Genomic DNA, 15,602 nt, shown 5'->3' with positions numbered 1-15,602 from the left:
GAGATATTAATTTGCTTTTAGCAGTTATTATTCTGTAGATGCTTTTAGAAGTGTGTTACATTCTGTTCACTAAGGTACATGATTTGTATTTTTAAATGCCACCCTTTTTTATCTCATTGTTAAATAGGAAGTACCATTGGCACAAACTGCACAGCCCACATCAGCTATTGTTCGTCCAGCATCATTACAGGTTCCCAATGTGCTGCTTACAAGTTCTGACTCAAGTGTAATTATTCAGCAGGCAGTACCTTCACCAACCTCAAGTACTGTAATCACCCAGGCACCATCCTCTAACAGGCCAATTGTGTAAGTGATTCAGGCCAATCATTGAACATATACATGAATTAAGTTTGTTTTGTAATGATTTTTCCTAAGACATTTGATTATTCAAACTAAGATCTTAGTTTTGTATGTGTGTGCATGCTTCGAATTTTGGAAAAAGTACTTGCGTAGTCTTCTTTAATATAAATATTAACTAACAGAGTGGGAGATAAATACAACTAAAAACAAATATAGAATGTGAATTTAAGATAGTCTTATTTTCATGCTATTTCACACAAAATATAAAATTACTGCATCACCAGATTCCATTTCTTTCAGTTCTTACTGGTAGCTCCCAAGAGCTCTCTGATGACAGTTTTTCTCATTTTACAAATTGGAGATTGTCCTAAGTAAATCCATAACTTTTCTCTTCTTTTCAATACTGCTACACAGGTTATGCATTTAAGATGCAATTAAAAATAATTAAATTTTGCTATTTGCTTTGCTGTGGTTAGAAAATGTATTTTTAAATGATATGATTATAGGAGTAAAAATACTATTGTATTTTTAAGAGACAGTTGGTATGAATCTCTTTTTTAAAATTTCTCTTCTTTTGTTTTTCTTAGCCCTGTACCAGGCCCATTTCCTCTTCTGTTACATCTTCCTAATGGACAAACCATGCCTGTTGCTATTCCTGCATCAATTACAAGTTCTAATGTGCATGTTCCAGCTGCAGTCCCAGTAAGAAAGTTAGACTATTTAAATCTCTATCGCAAAACTGATCTTTGTAGTCAGAAAATAAAGTTGGCTGCTTGACTGGCTTATGAAATTGAATTTAACATAATATTGATTAGCAGTTGATAGTATTTATTTGTTATCATTGTAATAGCATATACCATTCAAGGTATAGCTATTTTTTCTCTTCTCCCCAAAACCTTAATTTTTTTTTTATACTGAGATCTTCTTATTCAACCCATATCAATTTGACTGGACTTGTAGCATTCAAATATTAACACAGATTTCAAATTTTAGAAAGATATTTGTACTAGAATACTTGTCAGGTAACTCTGTGGTATTTCTATTAGTATGGAAATTGTTTATAAAGACACACTCTGAATTTTTGTGGTCAAGTAGGGTTTGTAGAATCTTTGATAGCCCAGCATGTTAAAATGTAAATGTTCTAGAAAAATAATCTTTCACTTTCCCTGTGAAAAGACCCCGCAAAAAAGTTTTTTGAGGGGTGTGTTAAATATATAAATTTTGAAAGACGTAGACAAAATAGTTAACTATCTACTTATGATATTTAATAGTTTGGCCAGGCATGGCAACTCATGCCTGTTGTAATCCCAGCGTATTGGGCGGCTGAGGTAGGAGGATTGTGTGAGCCCAGGCGTTTGAGACTGCAGTGAGCTATGGATCCTGCCTGGATGACAGGGCAAGACCCCAAGTCAAAAAAAAAAAAAAAGTAATAGTTTAATGAACATTTAAAAACACATTGTTTGGAATAATGTGTGTTAGAAAATTGCTTTTTTCTTACTTACATTACATAAAACAGTTTTATTCAAACAAACTCTTCAGTTATGTCTTTGACATTCAAATTTTCATCCTGAGAACCACTTTTTGAGACATCTAGCACAGTTTCCAGAACACAGTATTTTCTTTTTCATCTAAATCATTTACGATATTACTTTATGAATCTCTCTATTATTCTCTCCCTGGAAATCTTACACCAAGCATTAGGTACTTATTTATGTAATAAAAAGATAGTTTTTTCTTTTACCTTCTAAGATGCTTGTTACTGATCAGTACAGTGTAATCATTTACAGTGTAGCTTTTAAAAATTATTTTTAGGCCAAGTGCAGTGGCTCATGCCTGTAATCCCAGCACTTTGGGAGACCAGGGTGGGTGGCTTGCCTAAGTCCAGGAGTTCAAGACCAGGCTGGGCAACATGGCAAAACCCCATCTCTACAAAAAATAAACACAAATTAGCCAGTTGTGATGGAAGCACCTGTAGTCTCAGCTACTCAGAAGGCTGAGGTGGGAGGATCACTTGAGCCTGGAGGTTGAGACTGTAGTTAGCCGAGATTGCACCACTGCATTCCAGGCTGGGCAACAAAGTAAGACCTTGTCTCAAAAATAATAAAAAATAAAACTTATTTTTAAAAGCTTACTTATAGTAACATTCCAACACTTTCGGTGAGATTACCCCCAAGAATATTACTAGGATTAATGTTTGATATTTATATCTTTTTTTAATTAACTAATTCTTCCACGTGATCTTTCAAACTATCCAAAATTAGCATTGATTGACGTAATTTCAAGATAATGTGCCTTCTTTAAAAAGAACTTTGTTCAAAATGCATTATTTGAGAGACTTTGTAAGGACTCAGATATAAGGTATCTGCTTCCTCTTTACTGAGAATATTTTTTTGAGGAGGGAAACATTCTTGCCTTGTTTTTGAGATTCTGATTATCCTGTTACATGTACCTAGTGATGAAAGCAACCGGAAATGAAAGAAAAGATATGCTTTATTTATACAGTAACTGTGTTCACTCAGTGTTAGGTTTAAGAAAAAAAAGGAAAAAACCAAAATGGTAAAACCTGTTACAGATTATTTCAGAAATTATTACAGTGTGTTATTTGTTATTATGTGGTATGTATAAGAAAATTCATTGTATATATTTTTAGAAAAGCAAAATTCATTGTTGAAATTATTTTTTATGCCTAAGTGTCACAAGTTTTGACATTCTTCCTTTCATATTCAAAATGGAAGTTTGACAGATCTTTGAGAATTTTTGCATTAATCACTTTGAATATTATGAATTTCTAACAGGGACCATTAAGAAAGAAATTGTAGAAACTGAAAATTAGGAAAGCACACGTCTCAGAAATTGACAACTTTTGAAGGATAAGTCAGGATATAAGACCAAATAAGGATTTGGTATAGAGATAAAATCAGCTGGTGATAAATTTACAATGTTCTGATTCTTAAAGTCTCAAATTATTACAACAGCAGTAAAGTACAAATCTCATTTTGAATATATTCTCTAGCAATTATTTTTCCTTATGTCATGCATAGCTCGTTCGACCAGTCACCATGGTGCCTAGTGTTCCAGGAATCCCAGGTCCTTCCTCTCCCCAACCAGTACAGTCAGAAGCAAAAATGGTAAGCCAGATTTTATTTGTTCTGTACATTGCTTGAGGCTGTTTTGAATTAATGTTTTCACTAAAGCCTGCTTCAAATGCACAATTTAGATCACATTTTTATAAAGTTACGGACTGTTTTATACTATAGATAAACCACAAAATTTGAAAAAAGAAATCTTCCTTTAGCATAGTGAGTAGTTAGTGATACTTTAAAATTAGTGGCAGATTAGAAGTTCTGTTTCTTGTCACTTGTTGTTTGTCTGGCTTTTTCTTGTGGCTTTTTCTCCTCCTAGTGGAAAATAGGAGTATTACATCTGAAACTAGATGTGATCATCTGAAGGCAGTGCTGCTAATAATGATGAGTGGTTTTAACAGTATTAAAAAGAATTCTGAAATAGTGTACAAGTTAGCAAACATGATAAAACCATTTTTTTCTGTTGTGCTGTTTGGATGCTATTAAATTAATGTTTAGATGTGTATTTTAATTTTAATTTTAATCCTAACTCCACTATTCACTACCTTTAATTAAGCAACTGTAACTTTCCTGAGATTGCATTTCCTCATCTGTAAAATAAAAAGATTAAGCTTTGGTTTCTGGGGTACTTCTTAACCCTAAATCCTATAAACGTTCTAATTTTCTTAGTAGAAGATCTGACGATTCTATTTTTAAAGAAAATCAGGGCCGGGCGCAGTGGCTCACACCTGTAATCCCAAGCACTTTGGGAGGCTGAGGTGAGCAGATCACCTAAGGTCAGGAGTTCGAGAGCAACCTGGCCAACATGGTGAAACCCCATCTCTACTAAAAATACAAAAATTAGCCGAGCGTGGTGGTGCATGCCTGTAATCCTAGCTACTCGGGTGGCTGAGGCACAAGAATTTGCTTGAACCCGGGAGGCCGAGGTTGCAGTGAGCCAGCATCGCACTATTGCACTCCAGCCTGGGTGACAGAGTGAAACTCCATCTCAAAAATAAAATAAAATAAAATAAAAATCAGTGTAATTCTCCTTGCTGTGTTATAATACAATAATGTCAGTTAATTAATAACATCGATTAATTGGGTAGATGTTAACGTTCTATATCATAATAGGGCTAACAACAGCAATTAATTAATGTATCCTTAGGAAATCAATAGATTAGTAGTTATTAGACACCTTCTATTTGCTTCAGTTATTTGCTAGGCACTATACTAAATACAAATTTTTACATGCTAAAACATATTGCAGAGCTGAATTTATTTATTTATTTATTTTTTGAGATGGAGTCTCGCTCTCTCACCCAGGCTGGAGTACAGTGGCACAATCTCAGCTCACTGCAACCTCCGCCTCCTGGGTTCAAGCAATTCTCCTGCCTCAGCCTCCTGAGTAGCTGGGATTACAGGTGTGCACCACCATGCCTGGCTAATTTTTGTATTTTTAGTAGAGACGGGTTTTCACCATGTTGGTCAGACTGGTCTCGAACTCCTGACCTCGTGATCCCCCCTCCCCAGCCTCCCAAAGTGTTGGGATTACAGGCGTGAGCCACCACACCCGGCCTGAAAAATTTTTACTGCTATTCTCCATTAGTGCAGACAATCAGTCAGAAATTTGCACAGGACACCCTGTTTTAGCAATAAAACTTACATATTATCTGAATGAACAGCAGTTGGTTGAAGAGTATAAAAATTAGGTGGTTATTGATTGTTAGAGAAGACCCTAAAAACCCAAGGAGGAAATTTTTCACATCATAGTATGTTCAGGTCAGAGCTTTGGAAATACTAAGATGAATCTTCTTCACTTGATAGCAGAAGAGCTTCACCAGGGGCATTTTTTGCACTTCCTATTTTAGTATACTGATTGATGAAAAATTCAATTTAATTTACCATGCAGTGGGAACTGAATAGAGCAGATATAGATATTAAAAGGAGATCCTGTTATTGTGTACTGCATCTAAAAGTATTTTTACATATTCATTGGACTTTTTTCTATAAATTAATTCAAAAGGAACAAATCCAGTTTTAAGAAATACCTTTATTTACAAGAGTAGGCCATATTTTTAGAAACTGTTAAACTTTACACTTAACCTGAATAACTGTTTCTTTTAGGTCATCAGGAAATTAAATTAAAAAGAATAAAAGTTTCTCTCTTTCCGATCAGTCCACTCCATCTATTCTGATGTTTGTAACCATAGATTAGTTATAGAATTTCATATAAATAGCCACTTTATACTCTTATGTCCAGCTCAGCATGTCTCAGATTTATCCATGTTGTTGAGTGATCACAGTTTGCTTCTTTTTATTGCTGAGTGGTATTCCATTGTGTGAATATACCACAATTTCTTTGTCCATTCTCCTGCTCATGGACACTTTAATGGTTTCTAGTGTTTAGCTATTGTGAATAAAGCTACCATACACAGTCTTTTTTTTTTTTTTTTTTTTTTTTTATTGATCATTCTTGGGTGTTTCTCACAGAGGGGAATTTGGCAGGGTCATAGGACAATAGTGGAGGGAAGGTCAGCACATAAACAAGTGAACAAAGGTCTCTGGTTTTCCTATGCAGAGGACCCTGCGGCCTTCCGCAGTGTTTGTGTCCCTGGGTACTTGAGATTAGGGAGTGGTGATGACTCTTAACGAGCATGCTGCCTTCATGCATCTGTTTAACAAAGCACATCTTGCACCGCCCTTAATCCATTTAACCCTGAGTGGACACAGCACAAGTTTCAGAGAGCACATGATTGGGGGTAAGGTCATAGATCAACAGCATCCCAAGGCAGAGGAATTTTTCTTAGTACAGAACTAAGTGAAGTCTCCCATGTCTACTTTCTACACAGATACAGCAACAATCTGATTTCTCTATCTTTTCCCCACCTTTCCCCCTTTTCTATTCCGCAAAACCGCCATCGTCATCATGGCCCGTTCTCAATGAGCTGTTGGGTACACCTCCCAGATGGGGTGGTGGCCAGGCAAAGGGGCTCCTCACTTCCCAGAAGGGGCGGCCGGGCAGAGGCGCCCCCCACCTCCCGGACGGGTCGGCTGGCCGGGCGGAGGCGCCCCCCACCTCCCTCCCGGATGGGGCGGCTGGCCGGGCGGGGGCTGACCCCCCACCTCCCTCCCGGAAGGGGCGGCTGGCCGGGCGGGGGCTGACCCCCCACCTCCCTCCCGGACGGGGCTGCTGGCCGGGCGGGGGCTGACCCCCCACCTCCCTCCCGGACGGGGCGGCTGGCCGGGTGGACGCTGACCCCCCACCTCCCTCCCGGACGAGGCGGCTGGCCGGGCGGGGGTTGACCCCCCACCTCCCTCCCGGACGGGGTGGCTGCCGGACGGAGACGCTCCTGGCTTCCCAGACGGGGCGGCTGCTGGGCGGAGGGGCTCCTCACTTCTCAGATGGGGCGGCTGCCGGGCGGCGGGGCTCCTCACATCCCAGACGGGGTCGCGGCCGGGCAGAGGCGCTCCCCACATCTGAGACGATGGGCGGCTGGGCAGAGACGCTCCTCACTTCCTAGATGGGATGGCGGCCGGGAAGAGGCGCTCCTCACTTCCCAGACTGGGCAGCCGGGCAGAGGGGCTCCTCACATCCCAGACGATGGGCGGCCAGGCAGAGACGCTCCTCACTTCCCAGACGGGGTGGCGGCTGGGCAGAGGGTGCAATCTCGGCACTTTGGGAGGCCAAGGCAGGCGGCTGGGAGGTGGAGGTTGTAGCGAGCCGAGATCACGCCACTGCACTCCAGCCTGAGCACCTTTGAGCACTGAGTGAACGAGACTCCGTCTGCAATCCTGGCACCTCGGGGGGCCGAGGCTGGCAGATCACTCGCGGTTAGGAGCTGGAGACCAGCCCGGCCAACACAGCGAAACCCCGTCTCCACCAAAAAAAATACGAAAACCAGTCAGGCGTGGCGGCGCGCGCCTGCAATCGCAGGCACTCGGCCTGCTGTGGCAGGAGAATCAGGCAGGGAGGTTGCAGTGAGCAGAGATGGCGGCAGCACAGTCCAGCTTTGGCTCGGCATCAGAGGGAGACCGTGGAAAGAGAGGGAGAGGGAGACCATGGGGAGAGGGAGAGGGAGACCGTGGGGAGAGGGAGAGGGAGAGGGAGCCACAAAACGTACTTCTATGAGGATATCTGCTCAGCAATTGTCTGTCTCATACACATTCTTATGTAACTTTCATGGCCATATATTTTCATTTTATTGACTAAACAGCTAAAAGTAGAATCGCCGAGTCAGAGGGTAGGTATACATTTAACTTTATAAGAAATTGCTAAACCTTTACCCAAAGGTTTACATTCCTACCAGCAGCGTGTGGGAATTCCAGTTGTTCCCACATTCTTGTCAACATTTGGTTCTCCCTGTCTTTTTAATCATAGACATTCTAGAGCTGTTTAGCAGTGTCTCATAATTTTAATTTCCATTTCCTTTTTGGCCAGGCATTAGTTGTGAGGTCTTTTGCCCATTTAAAAAATTGTGTTGTTTTTCTTTTATTGATTGATTGATTGAGACGGGGTTTGGCTCTGTTACTCAGGCTGGAGTGTTGTGGCATGATCTTGGCTCACTGCAGCCTGGATCTCCCAGCCTCAAGTGATCCTCCTGCCTTAGCCCCTCAAGTAGCTGGGACTACTTGTATTTTTTTGTAAAGATTGCTCTGCCAGGCTTGTCTTGAACTCCTGAGCTCAGGCAATCCACCCTCCTCGGCCTCCCAAAGTACTGGGATTACGGGCATGAGAGTCACCGCACCGGGCCAATTGTTTTTATTATTGCATAATTATTTTTATTTATTTATTTTTGAGACAGAGTCTTGCTCTGTCGCCCAGGCTGGAGTGCAGTGGCACAGTCTCAGTTCACTGCAACCTCTGCCTCCAGGGTTCACGCAGTTTTCCTGCCTCAGCCTCCCGAGTAGCTGGGATTACAGGCTTCCGCCACCACATGCAGCTAATTTTTGTATTTTTAGTAGAGATGGGGTTTCACCATGTTGGCCAGGCTGGTCTCGAACTCCTGACCTTAAGTGATCTGCCTACCCCAGCTTCCCAAAGTGTTGGGATTACAGGCGTGAGTCACTGCACCTGACTGTAATTCTTTTTTTTTTGTTGTTGTTTTTGGACAGTCTTTCTCTTTGTCACTCAGGCTGGAGTGCAGTGGTGAGATCTTGGCTCACTGCAGCCTCCCCTTCCCAGGTTCAAGCGATTTTCCCGCCTCAGCCTCCTAGTAGCTGGGATTACAGTCACCTGCCACCACACCCAGCTAATTTTTGTATTTTTAGAGATGGGTATCACCATGTTGGCCAGGCTGGTCTCAAACTCCTGACCTAAGGTGATCCACCTGCCTCGGCTTCCCAAAGTGCTGTGATTACAGGCGTGAGCTACTGCACTCAGCCTGGAATTCTTTATTTACACTGGATATAAGGTTTTTGTTAGAGAGAGAGGTACGTATATTTCTACTGTCTATTTTCTTTTAGTGTGTAGCTTGCCTTTATTTTTCTTAATGGTATGTTTATACTCCCATTGACTTACTTTTGTCTTTAATATTTGTTTTCTCCTACTTAATTAAGCTTAATTTGCTTATCTTTTTTGGGTTTCTTAAAGTAGAAGCTTAGATTATCTATTTAAATCTTTTTTCTAATATAGACATTTAAAGCTATAAAATTTCCTCTGTGCACAAATTTTGATATGCTATACTTTTATTGTCATTACTTTTTTAATTTCTCCTGTGATTTCTTCTTTGACCTGTGAGTTATTTAGAAGTGCACTGTATAATTTCCAAATATTTCAAGGCTTTTCTATTTATCTTTTTCATATTGATTTATATTTTAATTACATTGTGGTTTGGGAACTTACCATCTTTGGTATATTTGATTTTCCTTTATTTCCATTTTCTAATAGATCATAGCTATTTATTTCAGCTCATTTGTGAAACAGTAGATATTGCTATGCTGGTACAGTAACCTGAACTGGTAACTTAAAATGTCAGTGTACTGGATAAGGGAATTCTGGTTACTTGAATTTTTTTGTTGCATAGAAATTATTTCACACTTCAATATTCTTTTTATATTAACAACATCATTTAACAGCTATTTCTATCAATTGTTACATGGCAAACATTTCTTGGGTTCTAAGAAATTCAATAGACATGATCTTAAATTTTGAGATTTTTCTTGCAAATGTGTTCAGTAGCCATCAGGAGAGTCAAAAAAGAATGTTCTTCTAAGAAGACCATTATGGTTTTCTTTTCCAGCATGTGTAGCAATTAGGATTGTATTTTATCAATGAGCTATTTTGTTTTGGGTTTTGATTTCATATTTTTTTGGGGGGGGGGCAGATTTTAATGCCCTTGATGGTGACTTGTACACATAATGATTATTCAGGGACTACTTTTAAAAAATAATATAAGATTTATTAAGATTACAAGTTTAAAAACCTAGTGCTTTCCTAAGTTCTCAAGGCAATTTACATGTACAGTTATGTAATGATTGCTTTTAAAGAGCTTAAAATATAATCTTAAACACGCTAAGCTATATACATGTAAAGCTATGTACTCAATAATTCTCTCAATTGTCTTTCTTAAGTACTTAAATAATTCTTAAATTTAACTAAACTTAGTGATACATAGTTTTCTTAAATATTCATTAATTATTTAGAAGCTTACTTAAGATTATCTCAGCACTTACAACTAAAATCACAGGCCCATTATCTCAGCACTTAACAACTAAAATCACAGGCCCAAGTCAATCTCTTAATTAAACATTTTCACTTAAAGTCCAAGGGTAACGTGTTATTCCGCTTGGCAAGTTAGATTAGATTATACTTGTAGAACGTAAAATACCAAATAGGTATAGTTTATTTGAAATTTAAGTTTGAAATTAAAATGTCAGTGGTATTGGTTTACTTTTTTAAGCTTCAGTGGGCTTAAGAAGACTCACCATATAAACAATTCTGTCATCCCAACTGAAGAACATTGAAGATGGGTTCGTATCCCAGTGCACAGAGCTTTCTTAATGACCAGATAAATGGTCACAGAACTTGATTCTTTCATGCCTTAAAGATAGAACTCCAAGTCCACATTCTCCAAATAAGTGGTTCCCAGCTCACATTCCCTAGATTCATGTTACACATTAAGTGATTTTTCTGACTCTTCACCTGTTTGCGCACCGCCCCCCCCACCCTGCCACCACCTTAAAACTTGTAATTTCTTCTTTTACTGCTTTTGTTGGATTTTACTTTGTTGTTTTCAGATCTTTGAAAGTATTTTAAACATCATCCTTTTGGGGTTCTGCATCTCTCTCAAGAATTTATTAGACCTTTATGATCACAATCTGTTAATAACATGCTGTATATTGTAGCAGTAGTGATTCTGCTAAAATGACCTGTGGTTAAAAATAATGGGATTGGAACATGGAAGAATGAGTAGCACACTACAGCTAAAGAGAAGTTTACTTTGTATGCTAACATAGGATGTTTTTGTAATTCTCTGATTTTCAGATGTTCAGTGCCTTTCCAGGAAGATATTATGTATGCATTGTGTTTGTGTGTGCTGTGAATACTGAAATAAGATCTTTCTTTTCTGCTAAAAAAAAAAAAAAGTCTTCAGAGTAAGCTTGTATTTTTTAATTTTTAAGAACTTTAAGCCTTTGGAAAAGTAAGCATGTGTTAAATGTCGATAGGGACCGAAAAATGAAAGACTATATAGTACTTTTTAATACAACAGAAAAATTCCCAGGATATAATTTTCTACAGAATTAGACTAGTTGTCACTAAATTTTGGTTTCAGGGTTTTGTTTGTCGTTAAGCCCGTAAATCATATTACTCTTCTAATAAAACAATTTTCTTTTGTAATATTTGTAATCAAAAAGCAGCTCTTCTGAATAAGAAAATGTTAATCATCTGGGAATTTTAAGATTTAGTAAAGTATTTAAATAGTATCCTCCAGAATCTTTTTTTTTTTTTTTTTTAAGATGTGTGACAAACTGAGAAATATCTTTGCACACAGTGGGTAGCCAGTAGGTTTTCTGCAGGGGGTTTCTACTGAAAGCTGACAGAGGGCATCTTGGCAAATGTTCAGAAACCTACATTAACTTGGTTGGGCCCTGCATGGAACCTCATGTTCAGCAGAATTCTTCTGACCTGCCTCTGCATGCCGAGCTAATCAGCAAATACCTAATGAGCCCACTCCAAAGAAACAGACCCTCTCTCAACCTACTTGATTTTCATATGTTCTCTGGGGGTGGGGTGACAAGATTTCATGAGGACTGATGATGCTGCAAAGACCACAATAATGATAATTAACTTGCTGAATTTAGAAGATTATGCTGTTAATTAGTTGCAAAATAAAGATAAGTAATAGAGCAGCAGATGGTAGGATAACACCCAGGAGAAGGAGGGTTATTACTCTGATGAGCTTTTGTGGCACATATGAAATATGGATCTGACTTTTTCATAAATTGTTTCTAGAGAACATTATCTTTTTTCTTTGAACTGTGATGGAGTACTTTGTTCCTACTACTAAGTTCTGACAGATGTGATAAAATTTATTTTCAAGGGTGCAACATAGAACTTGAATGACAATTATTTCTAGGAGATCACCTCTTAAAGCGAATGTGTCAGATTGGTCAGCACAACAAATTATTCATCCTTTAATTAATTGAAACAATCTATATCTCTCTAAGAAAAAGAGTTTTCAGTATAGTAGTTGAACTTTACATCACTGAAAATTAAACATTAAAATACTGGTCTGTTTCATAGAAACATAATGAAGACATTTTTGTTTATCAAACAAAGTCTACCTTTACTTTAAATTAAAATTATGCCTAAGTTTTCTTGTACATGTTGGATAATATAGACCTTATAAAGTCCTCCTTTTTTTTTTTTCCTCTTTTTTTTGAGTCAGGGTCTTGCTCTGTTACCCAGGCCAGAGCTCACTGCAGCCTCAAACTTCTGGGCTCAAGCAAACCTCCTGCCTCAGCCTCCTGAGTAGTTGGGACTACAGGCATGCACCACCACACCTGGCTAATTTTTAAGTTTTTTGTAGAAATGGAGTTTTACCATATTGCCCAGGCTGGTGTGGAACTCCTGGGCTCAAGGAGTCCTGCCTTGGCCTCCCAAAGTGCTGAGATTACAGGCATAAGCCATCACACCCCACCTTAAATCTTTAATTTTTATGAGTGCTCAATCTTTACTTCTTAGAGTACTTAATCCTTATTTACATATATTAAATTTGTCTATTGAGAGAGATTTTTGATCTTAGTAATGGACTGACCAATATCAGATGCTTAACTTAATTGATTACTAATAGATTTAGAAAATTTAACATTAGACTAGAGCTCCAGTTTGGCAAAGCTTTTGTTTAGAATATGTTTGGTGAACTGGGAGTCAACAAATAGAGTTTCTGGTTTTATCTCTGCTAACTTTGATTCTGGGAAGTAACTTCAGTTTTTTGGAGTTTCTGTATCTGTAAGATGGTGATTGGACTAATTGACTTTCATTATCTCTGCTAGCTCCAAAATTCTATTGTAAAATAAATGTTCATTACATTTGTTTTCATTGATTTTTTTTTTAAACCAAAGTATTTGGCCTTCTTCAAATGCTCCTAACAAATATGTATGGCTGGATTGTAGATATCCTTACATTAATTGTAAAATTTATATGAATGATATTTAGTGACTGCTTTTTTGACCTAAGTCTAATTTTTTTAGCGTGTGTGCATTTTTGTTGTAGTTTTAGAAAAATTAATGGACAGTTTAGAACAGTGTTAATTAACCCTTAAAATCTTTTTCTTCTGTTGTATACCCACTGGCATACTTTTCAAGTCAGACCCATTGTAATCAATGTAACAGCATGGAGCAAACATTAGAGCTTCCTCACTGGATGAGTACTGTATACCCTAGGGCAGTCAAGGAAGGATAATGAATGAATACTGATGCTGCTTTTAAGTGCTTTATAAGGTAGTAACTTGCCCTACTAAAGATTATTCAAGAGAGTGATGTTTATGTACTTCAGGCTCCCCTATGTGCAGTTACTGTATTTCATTAATTCTGAGAGTTAAGCTCTTCACTGTAAAACTTTAAATGCTCTTCAATTCTATGATAATTTCTACCTAAGGACTTAAAAATCTTTTCCAAACACATAATTTACTAAGCCTCACATTTCTACTTCTAGTTATATTTGTGCACATTTTAAAACTAGAAATGAAAGCCCCAATTTATCACTATAGACTGGGTACTAGTCATTGTATTTTGATGTCTAACATTCTATTTATAAAATATATAAATATGCAGACTGGCGACCTCCCAAGACTCTCTCCCTTTGTTCTGACCCACACTTTTCCAACTCAGGTCTTTCTACTTTAAATACTTCTTGATCGTTTTTCTAAGTATTCCTATCTGGTTCTAGCCAGCTACTACTTTAGTCCCGCATTTAATTTCAGTTTTAATCCATCCACTTCCACATTATCCCATCAATTAGGGTCCTAATTTCCTATGTTTTAGCTACTAATATAGTTGTTTCTGATTGTTTAGAAAAGGAACTAGGAATCTTATCTTGATTCTAAAAAATTCAGTTTTTCTTATGGTCTTGAGCATGTCTCTGTTAGGAATGCTTACTTGTTCCCCGGTGCTGTAAAGAAATAGCACTTGAACATAAATTTAATTTCCTCAGCAAGGCCAATTTTTTTACTTTCTGCAGAAAGGGTACACTCGCCAGCAGTTTTCCCATGAGAGTACACTGAACAAAGGAGACAGGGTCATTTATAACCTGACGCATCCACCCTACTGCTGTGTCCAGTTTCCATTGGCTGGAATGGGACCTCACATTCTGTATTTGTCCTGATTGGCTAGCAACTTAGAAGTTTTAAAAGAGGCAAAGGCAGAGGAGAACAAAGGAAGGAGGAAGTAACTTGTGGAATGCTAAGAAAGGTAAAAACACCTTCAAATAAGGAAGAGGAACAGGCTATGACCTAATGCTTACTTGGACCAGTATACGCATGCCAGGGCAAATATGTAGGTAAATTGTGGGAGCTAAGAACATAAAGTACATTGATTTCTTTATTACGGCTAGCAGATATTTGAATGTTAGCACAGGTCTTTGAATAAATTTTGCTTCTAAGAGAAGTTACTATTTATTCCTAATTAGATGGGGAGGAGAGTCTTTGAAGAGGAACCTCTACTTTACTTTTTACATCTCATATATAAAATATGTCTGGGATCAAACCAATGCTTAAGATGACCCTTAGGGATATTTTGAAAATTCAGAAACATAGGAACTATCCTGATTCTTTGGACCTCCGTGCTAAGAAAATAGAGGCCTCAGTAGTATTCTTAAAAGAAATAAGGAAACTGACATCTGAAAAATTCTTTTACGAGTCAGATAGTTTTACATGTTATATTTATTTTTCAATTCAACTCTGCAAGGAAGTTATTATTCCCAGTTTTATAGGTAAAGAAATTGAGACTCAAAGATCAATGATTTGTTCAAAGTCACAGATAGTTTGAGGTAGAGTTAGGTTCTGAACCTAAAGTGTATTCTCAGCTTTATAAGACCATAGTACATTGCATGTTCTAATCAGTGAAAGCACTAGGATATTACATAAGTGGTACTTTTTATAATTCATAAAGAAGTAGTCTGTCAGAAAAGAGGGAGAAAACATGCCAGATCCTGGCTTAGCAGTTGCAGTAACAGGTTTGGCACTCTAAATCCTTATGATTGTTTTTTGAATCATTAAGCCACAAAGTTTCAGACTCTCTGTCTTGAGTTTTCCCTGTGTTTTCTGGTAGCACCAAGGATAAAGTATGCAGCATGGTGCTGTGGAAATATTTTGCACTTGAAATTAAAGAGATCTGGGTTTATATCCAGGATTTGAACTAGCTTAACAGCTCTGCATCCTTGAGCAAATGATATCTGGTTTCCTAAAGTGTAAAATGGGGATACTATACAATTAAAAACTCATTAAAAAACTACAGATAATACAACAACACAGGTGAATCTCAACTGCATTGTGCTAAGAGAAAGAAGCCAGATTCAAAAGGCTATACAATGTATGTTTCCAAGTATGTGATCTTCTGGAAGAGACAAAACTCTTGGGATCAGAAAACAGATCAGTCGTTTCCAGGGCCAGGGAGTAGAAGGAGAGTATGACAGGAAAGGGCATGAGGATTTTATTGTGGTAAAACTGCTGTGTATCCTGATTGTAGGGTAGGTTGCATGAGTGTATTTGTTTGTTAAAATTCAATAGAGGCCAGGCA

The 15,602-nt window shown here is 38.2% G+C and overlaps 1 protein-coding gene across 13 annotated transcripts in view, besides 2 other annotated features; it reads left to right on the top strand.

Annotated features, from left to right (window-relative positions):
* ATF2 (activating transcription factor 2) overlaps positions 1-15,602 on the top strand; it is a 95,945-nt gene that overhangs the window by 53,208 nt on the left and 27,135 nt on the right. For 10 of the 13 annotated variants that reach the window (NR_045773.2, NR_045771.2, NR_045772.2 and 7 more), the window contains 3 exons: positions 128-306; positions 888-1,002; positions 3,342-3,428. Coding sequence is in view for 6 of the 13 variants with exons in the window: in NM_001256092.2 (NP_001243021.1) it covers positions 128-306; positions 888-1,002; positions 3,342-3,428 (381 nt within the window). In the remaining 7 variants the exon portion in view is untranslated. Of the gene's footprint in view, positions 1-127; positions 754-887; positions 1,003-3,341; positions 3,429-15,602 lie in introns of those variants that run through there. The other 3 variants (NR_045774.2, NR_045770.2, NM_001256094.2) reach the window with 2 other exon arrangements.
* Positions 6,677-7,617: an enhancer, noted in NCBI's record as "H3K27ac hESC enhancer chr2:175972107-175973047 (GRCh37/hg19 assembly coordinates)". NCBI's record gives its function as "activates a minimal SCP1, AML or CMV promoter by ChIP-STARR-seq in primed H9 embryonic stem cells {active_cell/tissue: H9 hESC(primed)}" and the evidence as "EXISTENCE:reporter gene assay evidence [ECO:0000049][PMID:30033119]".
* Positions 6,941-7,235: a silencer, noted in NCBI's record as "tiled region #9658; HepG2 Repressive non-DNase unmatched - State 16:ElonW, and K562 Repressive non-DNase unmatched - State 18:Pol2". NCBI's record gives its function as "represses a minimal TATA promoter and a strong SV40 promoter by Sharpr-MPRA in HepG2 and K562 cells {active_cell/tissue: HepG2 | K562}" and the evidence as "EXISTENCE:reporter gene assay evidence [ECO:0000049][PMID:27701403]".

This window comes from Homo sapiens, chromosome 2 (genome assembly GCF_000001405.40).
Source record: "Homo sapiens chromosome 2, GRCh38.p14 Primary Assembly".
NCBI lineage: Eukaryota > Metazoa > Chordata > Mammalia > Primates > Hominidae > Homo > Homo sapiens.
The sequence above is the reverse complement of the archived record's forward strand: the minus strand, read 5'-3'. Positions and strand labels throughout refer to the sequence as shown.